This window comes from Homo sapiens, chromosome 11 (genome assembly GCF_000001405.40).
Source record: "Homo sapiens chromosome 11, GRCh38.p14 Primary Assembly".
NCBI lineage: Eukaryota > Metazoa > Chordata > Mammalia > Primates > Hominidae > Homo > Homo sapiens.
Window position 1 is genome coordinate 16,718,685 of NC_000011.10, and position 16,417 is coordinate 16,735,101.

The following is a 16,417-nucleotide window of genomic DNA, read 5'->3' on the forward strand; positions in this document are numbered from 1 at the left end:
TTATTTTTTAATTTTATTCTTGCTTCTGAATATATTTTAATTTATCTTCAGTGTATATGCATTGTTTGTGACAAGGGAAAATATTACTCTTCATTTTAAAAATAAATGCTGTTTTATTATTTTTCAGCACATAATATAGGTACTTTTAAAACATCCACATATATAGGCCAGGTGTGGTGGCTCATGCCTGTAATCCCAGCACTTTGGGAAGTTAAGGTGGATGGATTGCTTGAGCACAGGAGTTGGAGACCAGCCTGGGCAACATGGCAAAACCTTTCCTTTATTTTTAAAATTAAAAAAAAAAAAAAAAAAAGAGAGAGACAGAGAAATCCAAAGGTATACACTTATATTTAACTACTCATATTACACAAGTACATAATTTTAAAATGTAATTTCCAAAACTGTAAAATTATAAGTCATATAAATTTAAAAACAGCATGAGTCAAAATGTTGAGTGTCAAAGAGTTTACTTAACTGAGTAATTAATGAGGAAACCAGTAAGTTAAAACCGATTCATTACAGAATTTGATTTACAGAAATTTGTATTCTCTACTGGATAAAGTCCATTTGCATTGCCAAGAATAGGAATCATTTGCGTTGTTATGGGCCAAAATCATTTGCATCCTTTTCAGATGTATAAAATTTAACTTTTATCCCTCTACAGAGTTGTAAAATAGCCTAGTCAATCAAAGATGATCAAAAGTACACACTCATTTAGAATCAGATAATCCCTGGAGAGTCCCTACACATTCAGCACTCCCCTGAAAGAAAACCCAGTTATCAGTTTTGCCTGCTTCCAAGTCTTTAACAAATTTTCCTGATATAATTTACTAATTAGTAAACATGCTTTCTTATGTATCACCTAGAAATGTTTAGTAAAGTTTTCTGTACCTTGATATAATCAAGGCATATCAGAGAATATTTGAGGTGAGTATAAACTTCAGAAACTTCACACCAGGCCAGGTACAGTGGCTCACACCTGTAATGCCAACATTTTGGGAGGCCAAGGCCAGAGGATTGCTTGAGTCCAGGAGTTCGAGGCTAGCCTGGGCAACATAGTGAGACCTCACCTCTACAAAAAATAAACAAAATTAGCTATGCAAGGTGGTATGTGCTTGTAGTCCAGCTACTAAGGAGGCTGAGGTGACAGGATTGCTTGATCCCAGGAGGTAGAGGCTGCACCACTGCACCCCAGCCTGGGCAACAGAACAAAATTGTCTCAAAAAACAAAAAACAAACAAACAAACAAAAACACTTTATATCAGTTTAAATCATGGAACATTAGTAAATTATAAAGACATAATGAAATATTGATATATCAAAAAGCTTATCCACCATGATCAAGTGGGCTTTATCCCTGGGATGCAAGGCTGGTTCAATATATGCAAATCAATAAATGTAATCCAGCATATAAACAGAACCAAAGCAACCACTGTGGAAGTCAGTGTGGCGATTCCTCAGGGATCTAGAACTAGAAATACCATTTGACCCAGCCATCCCATTACTGGGTATATACCCAAAGGACTATAAATCATGCTGCTATAAAGACACATGCACACGTATGTTTATTGCGGCACTATTCACAATAGCAAAGACTTGGAACCAACCCAAATGTCCAACAATGATAGACTGGATTAAGAAAATGTGGCACATATACACCATGGAATACTATGCAGCCATAAAAAATGATGAGTTCATGTCCTTTGTAGGGACATGGATGAAATTGGAAATCATCATTCTCAGTAAACTATCACAAGGACAAAAAACCAAACACCGCATGTTCTCACTCATAGATGGGAATTGAACAATGAGAACACATGGACACAGGAAGGGGAACATCACACTCTGGGGCCTGTTGTGGGGTGGGGGGAGGGGGGAGGGATAGCATTAGGAGATATACCTAATGCTAAATGACGAGTTAATGGGTGCAGCACACCAGCATGGCACATGTATACATATGTAACTAACCTGCACATTGTGCACATGTACCCTAAAACTTAAAGTATAATAATAATAAAAAAAAGAAAGATGCACACAAAAAGAAAAAAAAAGAAATACTGATATATGAAATAGTTAATACTGTATAAAGTATGAGTAATTTTTATGTATGCAATATAAAAACATAATCACAAACAAAATATCCATGAGGAAACAAGCTGTCAAACAAAATATGATCAACTTTGAGTTTTCCTATCAGTAACTTTTCGAAGTTGAGAAAATTTTAAGGGATAAAATCTTAAAACTGAGAAAAGTCCAGTAGCATCTTCCCAGTGAACCACAAAGGGACTATACTGAGGAGACCCCCAACTCAAAGGAAATAGACTGTAGCACCAATTGGCCAACTTTGGGTAAGTAGTGGGGTACATTTTACCCAGGTGAAGGACGCGAATGGGCCTGAGGCCCAACTTAGGACAATCTCTCCTAAGACAGAGAAAGTTAAAGGCCCCTCTTAATAAAAGGCAAGGACGCTTGATTAAACTTAGGTTCAAGGCCCAACTTAGGAAGCTTAGAGTCCTTCCTAAGATTTAGGGGGTTAGAGGCCCCACTCAGAAAAGTCTACATTGGTTAAAAATGGATTTGGCACTATGGAATGTGAACCGCTATTCTCTTTGGATTAATCTGCCTTGCACTCTTTGCTGATGGCTATGGGTGATAGGATTAGGTATGTACAAGATCATGGGACATGGGGAACTTTTTTTCTCCCCCAAGGGGGAAACTTGAGCGCTGATGGATCTGCTGGAAAAGATCCCTTCACAACTGACAAGCAGCCGCCTGAATTTTGATTCAGTGTCACTGCAATGGGTGGGTCTTTTCTGTCTCTCTCTCTCTCTCTCTCTCTCTCTCTCTCTCTCTCTCTCTCTCTCTCTTCCCCCCCCTCCCTCCCTCCCTCCCTCCCTCTCTCTCTCTCTCTCTCTTCCCTCCCTCCCTCCCTCCCTCTCTCTCTCTCTCTCTCTCTCTCTCTCTCCTGCCAGCCGTGTGAAGACTTGACTGCTTCCCCTTCACCTTTCACCATGATTGTAAGTTTCCTGAGGCCTCCCCAGCCATGCCTCTAGTATAGCCTGGAGAACTGTGAGTCAATTAAACCTGTTTTCTTCATTAATTACCCACTTTTAGGGAGTTCTTTATAGCACTGTGATAATGGAATAATACAGAAAATTGCACAGACAAATGGAACAGAATAGAGCCCAGAAATAAGGCTGCACATCTACAACCATCTGACCTTTGACAAAGCTGACAAAAACAAGCAATGGGGAAAAGACTCCCTATTCAATAAATGGTGCTGGGATAACTGGTTAGTCATATGCAGAAGATGGAAGCTGGACCCCTTCCTTACACAAAAATCAACTTAAGATGGATTAAAGACTTAAATGTAAAACCAAAAACTATAAAAACCCTGAAAGACAACCTAGGCAATACCATCCTGGACATAAGAATGGGCAAAGATTTCATGACAAAGACACCAAAAACCATCACGACAAAAGCAAAACTATAATAAACTTAAGAAATTCTACACAGCGAAAAAAAACTATATCAATAGAATAAGTAGACAACCTACAGAATGGGAGAAAGTATTTGCAAACTATGCATCTGACAAAGGTCTAATATCCAGCATCTATAAGGAACTTAAATAAACTAAACAAATTTACAAGAGAGAAATAAACAACCCCATTAAAAAGTGGGCAATGGGCCGGGTGCAGTGGTTCACACCTGTAATCTCAGCACTCCGGAGGCCGAGGCAGGCGGATCATTTGATGTCAGGAGTTCAAGACCAGCCTGGCCAACATGGTGAGATCTTGTCTCTACAAAAATACAAAAATTAGCTGGGTGTGGTAGCACATGCCTTTAATCCCAGCCACTTGGGAGGCTGAGACAGGAGAATCACTTGAATCCAAGAGGCAGAGGCTGCAGTGAGCCAAGATCACACCACTGCACTCCAGCCTGGGCAACAAAGTGAAACTCTGTCTCAAAAAAAAAAGGCAAAGGACATGAAATGACACTTCTGAAAAGAAAACATACATGCAGCCAATGAGCATATGGAAAAAACCTCAATGTCACTATCATTAGAGAAATACACATCAAAACCACAAAGAGATACCATCTCACACCAGTCAAAATGGCTGTTATTAAAAAGTAAAAAACAACAGATGCTGGCACAGTTGCAGAGAAAAGGGAACACCCACATGCTGCTGGTGGGAGCGTAAATTAGCTCAACCATTGTGAAAAGCAGTATGGCAATTCCTCAAAGAGCTAAAAGGAGAACTACCATTCAATCCAGGAATCTCATTACTGGGTATATACCCAAAGGAATATAAATCACTCTACCATAAGACACACACACACAAATTTTCATTGCAGTACTATTCACAGTAGCAAAGACATGAAATCAACCTAATTATCCATCAATTATAGACTGGATAAAGAAAATATAGTACATATACACCATGGAATACTATGCAGTCATAAAAAAGGATGAGATCATGTCTTCTGCAGGAATATGAATAGAGCTGAAGGCCATTATCCTTAGCAAACTAACGCAGCAACAGAAAACCAAATACCACATGTTTTCCCTTATAAGAGGCATCTAAATGATAAGAACTTATGAACACAAAGAAGGAAACAACAGACACTGGGGGCTTCTTGCGGAGGGGGAAGGTGGGAGGAGCAAGAGGAGCCGAGAAGATAACTATTGGATACTGGGTTTAATACCTGGGTGATGAGATAATATGTGCAACAAACTTCTGTGGCATGTGTTTACCTATGTAACAAACCTTCACATGTACCCCCAAACCTAAAATGAAAGTTAAAAGAAAAAGAAAAAAAAAACTGAGAAAAGTCCATCTACAGCCAGGCGCAATAGCTCACACCTGTAATCCTAGCACTTTGGGAAGCTGAGGAGGGCAGATCACTTGAGGCCAGGAGTTGGAGACCAGCCTGGCCAACATGGTGAAACCCCATCTCTACTAAAAATACAAAAATTAGCCCGGCCTGGTGGTGGGGGCCTGTGATCCCAGCTACTTGAACCTGGGAGGCAGAAGTTGCAGTGAGTCAAGACAGCCACTGCACTCCAGCCTGGGTGACAGAGAGAGACTCCAACTCAAAAAATAAAAAAGAAAGAAAAGTCCAACCTCTCGATTTTTCCCCTTTCCCCTCTCAACTAAGAAATGATTGTCGTTATTTGAATTTTACAATGGAACAACTAAATCCAAATCACAGAAGCATAGTCAGATGAAGAAACTTGACGCCCAAAGAATTTCTGTGACTCTCTGAAGTCTCAAAACCACTGATTCAACAACACTAGTTTGTATACAAATTATAATTCACATTTGTACTATATTACATAAAACTGGGCCTTAAACATATAAGTAATTTTTAAATTACTGAATATAATAACTAATTAGTTAATTGATACACACAAGCACATTGAGGGAATACTTGGATTTTTAGACTGTTGTCTTGAAAGAGGATAAGTCTCCTTTCTTGGAGGTAAGCATCCCAAATTTGCAGAAAATTATTTGCAAGTTTTCACTCAATAAACATGTATACCATATGTGAATTAACTCTGTGTAGCAGCATAACATAGTGATTAACAGCATAAACACTTAGAGCCAGACTAGGCCATCAGCTCCACTACTTCTACTCTGCCTCAGTTTCCTGATCTGTAAAACAGGATAATAATAGTATGTAACAAATGTAAAGCATATGTAAGGAACACACTGGGCACAAAATAAGCATTACCAACATGTTTGTCAAGTTGGTGGTTCTAAAAACGTGGTCTTCATTCAGAAAGGCTGTAGGCTTTAAAAAAAAAAAAAGGACAATAAAATGTGGTCCTCAGACCAGCAGCAGCAACATCTGAGAATTTGTTAGAAATGTAAAATTTGGAACTCATCAGAGACCTACTAAATCAGAAACTCTGGGGTAGGGCTCAGCAATCTAGGCTTAAACAAAACATCTTTCAGGTGATTCCAATGCCCATTAACGTTTGGGAACCATTGCTGCAAATTAATAAGATTTTATCTCTTCCTCTCTAGACTTTAGTGCATGTGTGTGTATATATATTCATTAGTATACTTGGTGTTTTGCACATCTCATCTTTTGTCATAAAACTACTCAAACGTAGTTTCAACACTGAAGGTAACTTCACACCCACTAGGATGTTTATAATAAAAAAGATGACAAATGTTGGCAATGATGTGGAGAAATTGAACTCTTTATACACTGCTGGTGGGAATGTAAAATGGTACAGCCACTTTGGAAAACAGTCTGACAGTTCCTCAAAAAGTTAAATATAGTGTAACCATATGATCCAGCAATTCCACTCCTAGACATATACCCACAAGAATTGGAAACAAAGTCACACAAAATCTCTTCTACACAAATGTTCATTGCAGCATTATTCATAATAGAAAAAAGTAGAAACAACCCAAATGCCTATAACTGATGAATGGACAAACAAAATACAGTATATCCATACAATGGAATCTTATTCAGCCATAAAAAGGAATGAAGTACTGATACATTCAACAATATAAGTGAACCTTAAAAACATGCCAAGTGGCTGGGCGCAGTGGCTGATGCCCATAATCCCAACACTTTGGAAGGCCAAAGTGGGTGGACCCCTCGAACCCAGGAGTTAGACACCGGTGTGGACAACATGGTGAAACCTTTCCTCTACAAAAAAATACAAAAATTAGCTGGGTGTGGTGGTGCGCACCTATAGTCCCAGCTACTGAGGAGGCTGAGACAGAGGTTGCAGTGAGCAGAGATCATGCCACTGCACTCCAGCCTGAGTGACAGAGTGAGACCCTGTCTTAAAAAAAAAAGAAAAAAAATGCTAAGTGAAAGGAACCAGTCACAAAAGACCACATATTGTATGATTCCATTTATATGAAATGGCTAGAAGAGGCAAATATAGAGAGATAGGAAGCAGATTAGTGGTTGCCTGGGGTTGGGGGTGATGAGAGGAAAACAAGGAGGAGGGATGGCTAACAGGTGCAGAGTTTCTTTTTTTCTCTCTCTATTTTTCCTCATTTGGATGAAGAAAGAAAAATTCAGTTAGCTAAGGATTTAAGTCAACTAAATTTCAATTAATTGAAATGTTAGGAAAATTAAGTGTTTTTTATTTATAGATGTTATAGTATTACTAATAGATGAACTTTTTAAAAAATTAGAATTTTCAGCACAACCTTAGAATAACTTCTTATTCTGTACTAATTTTAGATTTTTGAAACATGAATGTTAAATATAAAGTTAATTGTTTTAAATTGTTTAGTTAATGACCACCAAAAACAATACCTCCTTTTCTATTTGAACTGTCTTAAAACTCAGAGTTAAATTTAAACCTTAGCTGGGAAAAGGTCTATTTCAGGTTCTTCTAATATCTACCTCAGGTATAAAATTTCTTTTGAGGGTGATGAAAATGTTATAAAATCAACAGTGATGGCTGGGCATGGTGGTTCACGCCTATAATCCCAGTACTTTGGGAGGCCAAGGCGGGAGGATTACTTGAGGTTGGGAGTTCAAGACCAGCCTGGCCAACATGGTGAAACCCCATCTGTACTAAAAATACAAAGATCAGCTGGGTGTGGTGGTGCACGCCTGTAATCCCAGCTACCCAGCTACGCAGGAGGCTGGGGCACAAGAATCGCTTGAACCCAGGAGGCAGAGGTTGCAGTGAGCTGAGATCACGCCACTTCACTCCAGCTTGGGTGACAGAGTGAGACTGTCTCAAAAATAAATAAATAAATACAATCAATAGTGATGGTTGCACAACTCTGTGACTACATTAAAAAATTTAATTGTATACTTTAAACAGGTGAATTATATAGTATGTAAATTTTACCTCAGTAAAGCTATTATTTAAAAAGCCTAAAGGCACATGCCAAGATATTATTATTGATGGAAAATACATGTGATATAACAATTTATGCAATAACAATAATCTATATTTAAAACTCTAAATTATATTATCCTGGAAGTCAGGGAGGGAAGAACAGGGCAAAAGTAAAGGTTCTAAATTATTCACAAATATGGGGACTGATGAGACACTCAGATATTGCTTTACTGTTGATTAGAGCAAAAACTAAAATATAACCATTGAAAACAAAGTATTAAGACCAAAATGTAATATCCTCAAAATCACTAGAATAAAGAGACTAGAAGGAATTATGCTTAGATATTAACCGTGATAACCTCAGAACTATGGCATTACTAAGTGATTTTATTTCCTTTTTGTGTTTTTATTTTCCATGTCTTTTCCAACGAATGATTTTATTTTTGTGTGAGTCTGCTTATATTTGTGACCCTGACTTTTTTAAAATCCAATTTTACTTACTTGTGTATTAACTTACAGTTAAATTTTTAGTTAATATATTCAGATAATTCAAAGTTCAAAAGACAGAAAAAGCATGGTGAAAAACCTCCTTGCTACCAGTACACCTAACCCCCATCTACCACTACTCCAACCATGGAGTCTACAACTGTGATGGGTTTCTTGGATATTTTTGGGGAAATATGTCATGAATATACATTGATTATTTTCCATCTTTTTAATACAGACACAATTTAATATATGTACTTCACTTTATATGCTATATTCACCTTGCTTTTTTTTTTTTTTTTTTTTTTGGAGACTGCCCCATATCAGTACCTACAGAGCTTCATCTTTCTTTTCAATGGCTACATAGTATTCCACTGTATGGATGTAACATAATTTATTTAGCCAGCCTCATACTGAAATATCACTTTCTTCTTTTTTTTTTTGAGATGGAATCTCGCTGTGCTGACCAGGCTGGAATGCAATGGTGTGATCTCAGCTCACAGAACACTTGACCTCCCAGGATCAAGCAATTTTTGTACCTCAGCCTCCTGAGTAGCTGGGATTACAGGCACGCGCCACAACACCCAGCAAATTTTTTTTTTTTTGTATTTTTAGTAGAGATGGGGTTTCACCATCTTGGCCAGGCTGGTCTCGAATTCCTTACCTCAAAGAATCTGCCCACCTCGGCCTCCCAAAATGCTACGATTACAGGCCTGAGACACCACATCCAGAGACATATTACTTTTATAACCGACAAGAACAACACAGGAATGTTAGGGGAAATTTTATTCAAATTCTCTTTTTTAATTTTTTTCAACTTCATATGCTCTGGATCAGTGTTTATTATTTGAATTTTCTTTTTTAAAAAGGATTATTACCCACTAATTTAAACTCATAGGTTCTTTTTGACAATACCAATTGGAATATTGCTGCTTTATGTATACATAGACTTTGTGGCCAGAACAGAAGATATACATCTGGGTGGAGCCCACCTCAGCACCGCAAAGCCACTGTAGCCAGACTGCCTCTCTTGATTCCTCCACTCTGGGCAGGGCATTTCTAAAAGAAAGGCAGCAGCCCCAGTGAGGGGCTTATAGATAAAATTCCCATCTCCCTGGGACAGAACACCTGGGGGAAGGGGCACCTGTGGGCGCAGCTGCAGCAGACTTAAACGTTCCTGCCTGCTGGTTCTGAGAGACCCCCAGCATAGCACTCGAGCTCTGCTAAGGGACAGACTGCCTCCTCAAGTGGGTCCCTGACCCCAGTGCCTCTTGACTGGGAGACAGCTCCCAGAAGGGCTCAACAGACACCCCACACAGGAGAGCTCTGACTGGCATCTGGCAGGTGCCCCTCTGGGATGAAGCTTCCAGAGGAAGGATCAGGCAAAAGTCTTTGCTGTTCTGCATTCTCTGCCAGTGATAGCCAGGCAAACAGGGTCTGGAGTGGACCTCCAGCAAATACCAGCAGACCTGCAGCAGAGGGGTCTGACTGTTAGAAGGAAAACTAACAAACAGAAAGGAATAGCATCAACATCAACGGAAACGACGTCCACACAGAAACCCAATCCGAAGGTCACCAACATCAAAGACAAAAGGCAGATAAATCCACAAAGATGAGGAAAAACCAGTACAAAAATGCTGAAAATTCCAAAAACCAGAACACCTCTTCTCCTCCAAAGGATCACAACTCCTGATCAGCATGGGAACAAACCTGGATGGAGAATGAGTTTGATGAACTGACAGAAGTAGGTTTCAGAAGGTCGGTAATAATAAACTCCTCCGAGCTAAAGGAGGATGTTCTAACCCAATGTGAGGAAGCTAAGAACCCTGAAAAAAGGTTAGAGGAATTGCTAACTAGAATAACCAGTTTAGAGATGAACATAAATGAATGGATGGAGCTGAAAAACAGCACGAAAACTTCATGAAGCATACACAAGTATCAATGCCCAAACTGACGAAGCAGAAGAAAGGATATCAGACACTGAAGATCAACTTAATGAAATAAAGCATGAAGACAAGATTAGAGAAATAAGAATGAAAAGAAATGAACAAAGCCTCCAAGAAATATGGGACTATGTGAAAATACCAAACCTACATTTGATGGGTGTACCTGAAAGTGATGGGGAGAATGGAACCAAGTTGGAAAACACTTCAGGATATTATCCAGGAGAACTTCCCCAACCTAGCAAGGCAGGCCAACGTTCAAATTCGGGAAATACAGAGAACACCACAAAGATACTCCTCGAGAAGAGCAACCCCAAGAAACATAATTTTCAGATTCACCAAGGTTGAAATGAAGGAAAAAATGTTAAGGGCAGCCAGAGAGAAAGGCTGGGTTACCCACAAAGGGAAGCCCATAAGACTAACAGCAGATCTCTCTGCAGAAACCCTACAAGCCAGAAGAGAGTGGGGGCCAATATTCAACAATCTTAAGGAAAAGAATTTTCCACCTAGAATTTCATATCCAGCCAAACTAAGCTTCACAAGTGAAGGAGAAATAAAATCCTTTACAGAGAAGCAAATGCTGAGAGATTTTGTCACCACCAGGCCTGCCTTACAAGAGATCCTGAAGGAAGCACTAAACATGGAAAGGAACAACCGGTACCAGCCACTGCAAAAACATACCAAATTGTAAAGACCATCGACACTATGAAGAAACTGCATCAACTAATGGGCAAAATAAACAGCTAACATCATAATGACAGGATCAAATTCACACATAATATTAACCTTAAATGTAAATGAGCTAAATGCCCCAGTTAAAAGACACAGACTGGCAAATTGGATAAAGAGTCAATACCCACCTGTATTCAGGAGACCCATCTCACGTGCAAAGACACACATAGGCTCAAAATAAAGGGATAGAGGAATATTTACCAAGCAAATGGAAAGCAGAAAAAAAGCAGGGGTTGCAATCCGAGTCTCTGATAAAACAGATCTTAAACCAACAAAGATCAAAAAAGACAAAGAAGGGCATTACATAATGGTAAAGGAATCAATGCAACAAGAAGAGCTAACTATCCTAAATATATATATATATATATATCCTAAATATATATGCACCCAATACAGGAGCACCCAGATTCATAAAGCAAGTTCTTAGAGACCTACAAAGGGACTTAGACTCCCACACAATAATAGTGGGAGACTTTAACACCCCACTGTCAATATTAGAAAGATCAACAAGACAGAAAATTAACAAGGATATTCAGGACTTGAACTCAGCTCTGGATCAAGCCGACCTAATGGACATCTACAGAACTCTCCACCCCAAATCAACAGAACATACATTCTTCTCAGTACCACATTGCACTTATCCTAAAATTGGCCACACAACTGGAAGTAAAACACTCCTCAGCAAAAGCAAAAGAACGGAAGTAAAAACCAACAGTCTTTCAGACCCAGTGCAGTCAAATTAGAACTCAGGATTAAGAAACTCACTCAAAACCGCACAACTACATGGAAACTGAACAACCTGCTCCTGAATGACTACTGGGTAAATAACGAAATTAAGGGAAAAATAAATAAGTTCTTTGAAACCAATGAGAACAAAGACACAATGTACCAGAATCTCTGGGACATAGCTAAAGCAGTGTTTAGAGGGAAATTTATAGCACTAATTGCCCACAAGAGAAAGCAGGAAAGATCTAAAATCAACACCCTAATATCACAATTAAAAGAACTAGAGAAGCAAAAGCAAGCAAACTCAAAAGCTAGCAGAAGACAAGAAATAACTAAGATGAGAGAAGAACTGAAGGAGACAGAGACATGAAAAACCCTTCAAAAAAATTCAATAAATCCAGGAGCTGATTTTTTGAAAAGATCAACAAAACAGATAGACCACTAGCCAGACTAATAAAGAAGAAAAGAGAGAAGAATCGAATAGACACAATAAAAAATGATAAAGGGGATATCACCACTGATCCCACAGAAATACAAACTACCACCAGAGAATACTACAAACACCTCTACATAAATAAACTAGAAAATCTAGAAGAAATGGATAAATTCCTGGACAGCTACATCCTCCCAAGACTAAACCAGGAAGAAGCCGAATCCCTGAATAGATCAATAACAAGTTCTGAAATTGAGGCAGTAATTAATAGCCTACCAACAAAAAGAAGCCCAGGACCAGACAGATTCACAGCCGAATTCTACCAGAGATACAAAGGGGAGCTGGTACCATTCCTTCCGAAACTATTCCAAATAGAAAAAGAGCGACTCCTCCCTAACTCACTTTATGGGTTCAGCATTATCCTGATACCAAAACCTGGCAGAGACACAACAAAAAAAAGAAATTTTCAGGCCAATATCCCTGATGAACATCTATGTGAAAATCCTCAATAAAATACTAGCAAACCAAATCCAGCAGCACATGAAAAAGCTTATTCACCACGATCAAGTCAGCTTCATCCTGGGATGCAAGGCTGGTTCAACATACGCAAATCAATAAATGTAATCCATCGCATACACAGAACCAATGACAAAACCCATGTGATTATCTCAATAGATGCAGAAAAGGCCTTCGATAAAATTCAACACCCTTTCATACTAAAAACTCTCAATAAATTAGATATTGATGGAATGTATCTCAAAATAATAAGAGCTATTTATGACAAACCCACAGCCAGTATCATACTGAATGGGCAAAAACCGGAAGCATTTCCTTTGAAATGCACAAGACAAGGATACCCTCTCTCACCACTCCTATTCAACATAGTATTGGAAGTTCTGGCCAGGGCAATCAGGCAAGAGAAAGAAATAAAGGGTATTCAATTAGGAAATGAGGAAGTCAGATTGTCTCTGTTTGCAGACAACATGATTGCATATTTTGAAAACACCAACATCTCAGCCCAAAATCTCCTTAAGCTGATAAGCAACTTCAGCAAAGTCTCAGAACACAAACTCAATGTACAAAAATCACAAGCATTCCTATACACCAATAATAGACAGAGAGCCAAATCATGAGTGAACTCCCATCCACAATTGCTACAAAGAGAATAAAATACCCAGGAATACAACTTAGAATTGATGTGAAGGACCTCTTCAAGGAGAACTACAAACCACTGCTCAAGGAAATAAGAGAGGACACAAATAAATGGAAAAACATTCCATGCTTATGAATAGGCAGAATCAATATTGTGAAAATGGCCACACTGCCCAAGTTAATTTATAGATTCAATGCTATCCCCATCAAGCTACCATTGACTTTCTTCACAAATTAGAAAAAACTACTTCGTTTCATATGGAAACAAAAAAGAGCCCATATACCCCAGACAATCCTAAGCAAAAAGAACAAAGCTGGAGGCATCACAATACCTCACTTCAAACTAAGCTACAAGGCTACAGTAACCAAAACAGCATGGTACTGGTACCAAAACAGACATATAGACCAACAGAACAGAACAGAGGCTTCTGAAATAATATCACACATCTACAACTATCTGATCTTTGACGAACCTGACACAAACAAGCAACGGGGAAAGGATTCCTTATTTACTAAATGGCTTTGGGAAAACTGGCTAGCCACATGCAGAAAACTGAAACTGGACCCCTTCCTTACACTTTATACAAAAATTAACTCAAGGTGGATTAAAGACTTACATGTAAGACCTAAAACCATAAAAACCCTAGATGAAAACCTAGGCAATACCATACAGAACATAAGCACAGGCAAAGACTTAATGACTAAAACACCAAAAACAATGGCAACAAAAGCCAAAACTGACAAATAGGATCTAATTAAACTAAAGAGCTTCTGCACAGCAAAAGAAACTATCATTGCAGTGAACAGGCAACCTACAGAATGGGAGAAAAATTTTTGCAATCTATCCATCTGACAAAGTGCTAATATCCAGAATCTGCACAGAACTTAAAACAAATTTACAAGAAAAAAACAACCCCATCAAAAAGTGGGTGAAGGATATGAACAGACACTTCTCAAAAGAAGACACTTATGCAGCCAACAAACATGAGAAAAAGCTCACCATCACTAGTCATTAGAGAAATGCAAATCAAAACTACAATCATCTCACACCAGTTAGAAGGGCAATCATTAAAAAGTCAAGAAACAACAGATGCTGGATAGAATGTGGAGAAATAGGAACGCTTTTACACTGTTGGTGAGAATGTGAATTAGTTCAACCATTGTGGAAGACAGTGTGACAATTCCTCAAGGATCTAGAACAAGAAATGCCATTTGGCCCAGAAATCCCATTACTGGGTATACACCCAAAGGATTATAAATCATTGTACTTTAAAGACAGATGCACATGTATGTTTATTGGAGCACTGTTCACAATAGCAAAGACTTGGAACCAACCCAAATACCCATCAATGATAGACTGGATAAAGAAAATGTGGCACATATACACCATGGAATACTATGCAGTCATAAAAAAGGATGAGTTCAGGTCCTTTGCAGGGACATGGATAAAGCTGGAAACCATGAGTCTCAGCAAACCATCACAAGAATAGAAAAACCAAACACGACATGTTCCCACTCATAAGCGGCAGTTGAACAATGAGAACACATGGACACAGGGAGGGGAATATCACATACCGGGGCCTGTTGGGGGTGGGGGGCTAGGGGAGGGATAGCATTATGAGAAATACCTAATGCAGATGATGGGTTGATGGGTGCAGCAAACCATCATGGCACGTATATACCTATGTAACAAACCTTCATGTTCTGCACATGTATCCCAGAACTTAAAGTATAAAAAAAAAAAAAAAAAAAAGGGCCAGGCACGGTGGCTCACGTCTGTAATCCCAGCACTTTGGGAGGCCGAGGCGGGTGGATCACAGGGTCAGGAGAGCGAGACCATCCTGGATAATACGGTGAAACCCCATCTCTACTAAAAATACAAAAAAATTAGCCGGGCATGGTGGCAGGCACCTGTAGTCCCAGCTACTCAGGAGGCTGAGGCAGGAGAATGGCATGAACCTGGAAGGCAGAGCCTGCAGTGACCCAAGATCGTGCCACTGCACTCTAGCCTGGGTGACAGAGCGAGACTTTGTCTCAAAAAAAAAAAAAAAAAAAGAAGATATACATCAACAACAATTTTATTGAAGCAATTTTAAGCAATACATTTTTCATTTCCCTTTTCATTCCTTTTTCATTTAAGTTCCTAGGTATGTGTAAAATAATCAAGTTAATATTTATAGTGCCACATTTTAAATCACAGTAGCACTCTGACAAATCTGCCTGCCCAATGGACAGAATGGGAGTTACCCAATCATCAACCATCATCAACCACAAATATGTATTTATTTATACCTTGTTTTCAAGATTCTGTGTTAGACCCTAGAGTTGCATTTATATTATGCCTTTAAAATCAGCTTCTAAATGGGCTTCATCTCATAGTCCACCACAGTGGAATAATGCATTTTTCACATTTTTTCCCTTTGCTTCAATGACACTAACCTCTCCTTCTTCTAGTTCTATGTCTACCTTCTAACCTCAGGCTCTTCTTCCTCATTCTATCCTTAAATCTTCTCCTTCTTGTTCTTTTCCAAGTATCTCTCTTCTAGGCACTCACTAGGTAAGCTTAGTTACTCTCCTTGTTGACCCACCACCTCTAGATGGGTGATTTCTAAGTTTATTGCTCTCTCCTAACTTTGAAGCCCATATTTTTAACAGTTCCACTTGGTGTCCTACTAATACTTTAACATGTCTAAAATCAAAGTCATCCTACCACATAAACTTGCTCCTCTCTAACCTCACCGATTCATATATTAAAACAACAAATATCTATTGAGTGATAGTTTATATGTCATGGTGCTAAGCTTAGATCCTACCCAAAAGCAGCTGAGAGTCTAGAACAGTCAACAAGACTAGTATCTTTGTTCAATACCTTTATTATAGCACTTATTTTTGTTGTGGTGGGCTAATCAAGATAAGTTAAAGATAATAGTAGAAAATAAGACTGGAATGGATTATTGAGATCAGAATATCGACCTTATTCTGACCTCAAGAACTGAATTCTTATTTTAATTATAGGCTTAATTCTATCAACTTAATTCTGTATAAAATGGGGAGCTCCAAGAAGTTTTTGAGCAGTAGAATCTCTACATTCCATTTTCAGAGGCTGAATCT

General features: G+C 38.7%; 1 protein-coding gene across 1 annotated transcript in view, besides 1 other annotated feature; it reads right to left on the bottom strand.

The window, feature by feature from the left end:
- The window catches only part of SOX6 (SRY-box transcription factor 6), a 772,029-nt gene that overhangs the window by 752,236 nt on the left and 3,376 nt on the right, over positions 1–16,417 (bottom strand). The window lies entirely within an intron of this gene.
- Positions 9,204–9,404: a silencer, noted in NCBI's record as "peak1219 fragment used in MPRA reporter construct". NCBI's record gives its function as "represses an SCP1 promoter by STARR-seq MPRAs in K562 erythroleukemia cells {active_cell/tissue: K562}" and the evidence as "EXISTENCE:reporter gene assay evidence [ECO:0000049][PMID:32103011]".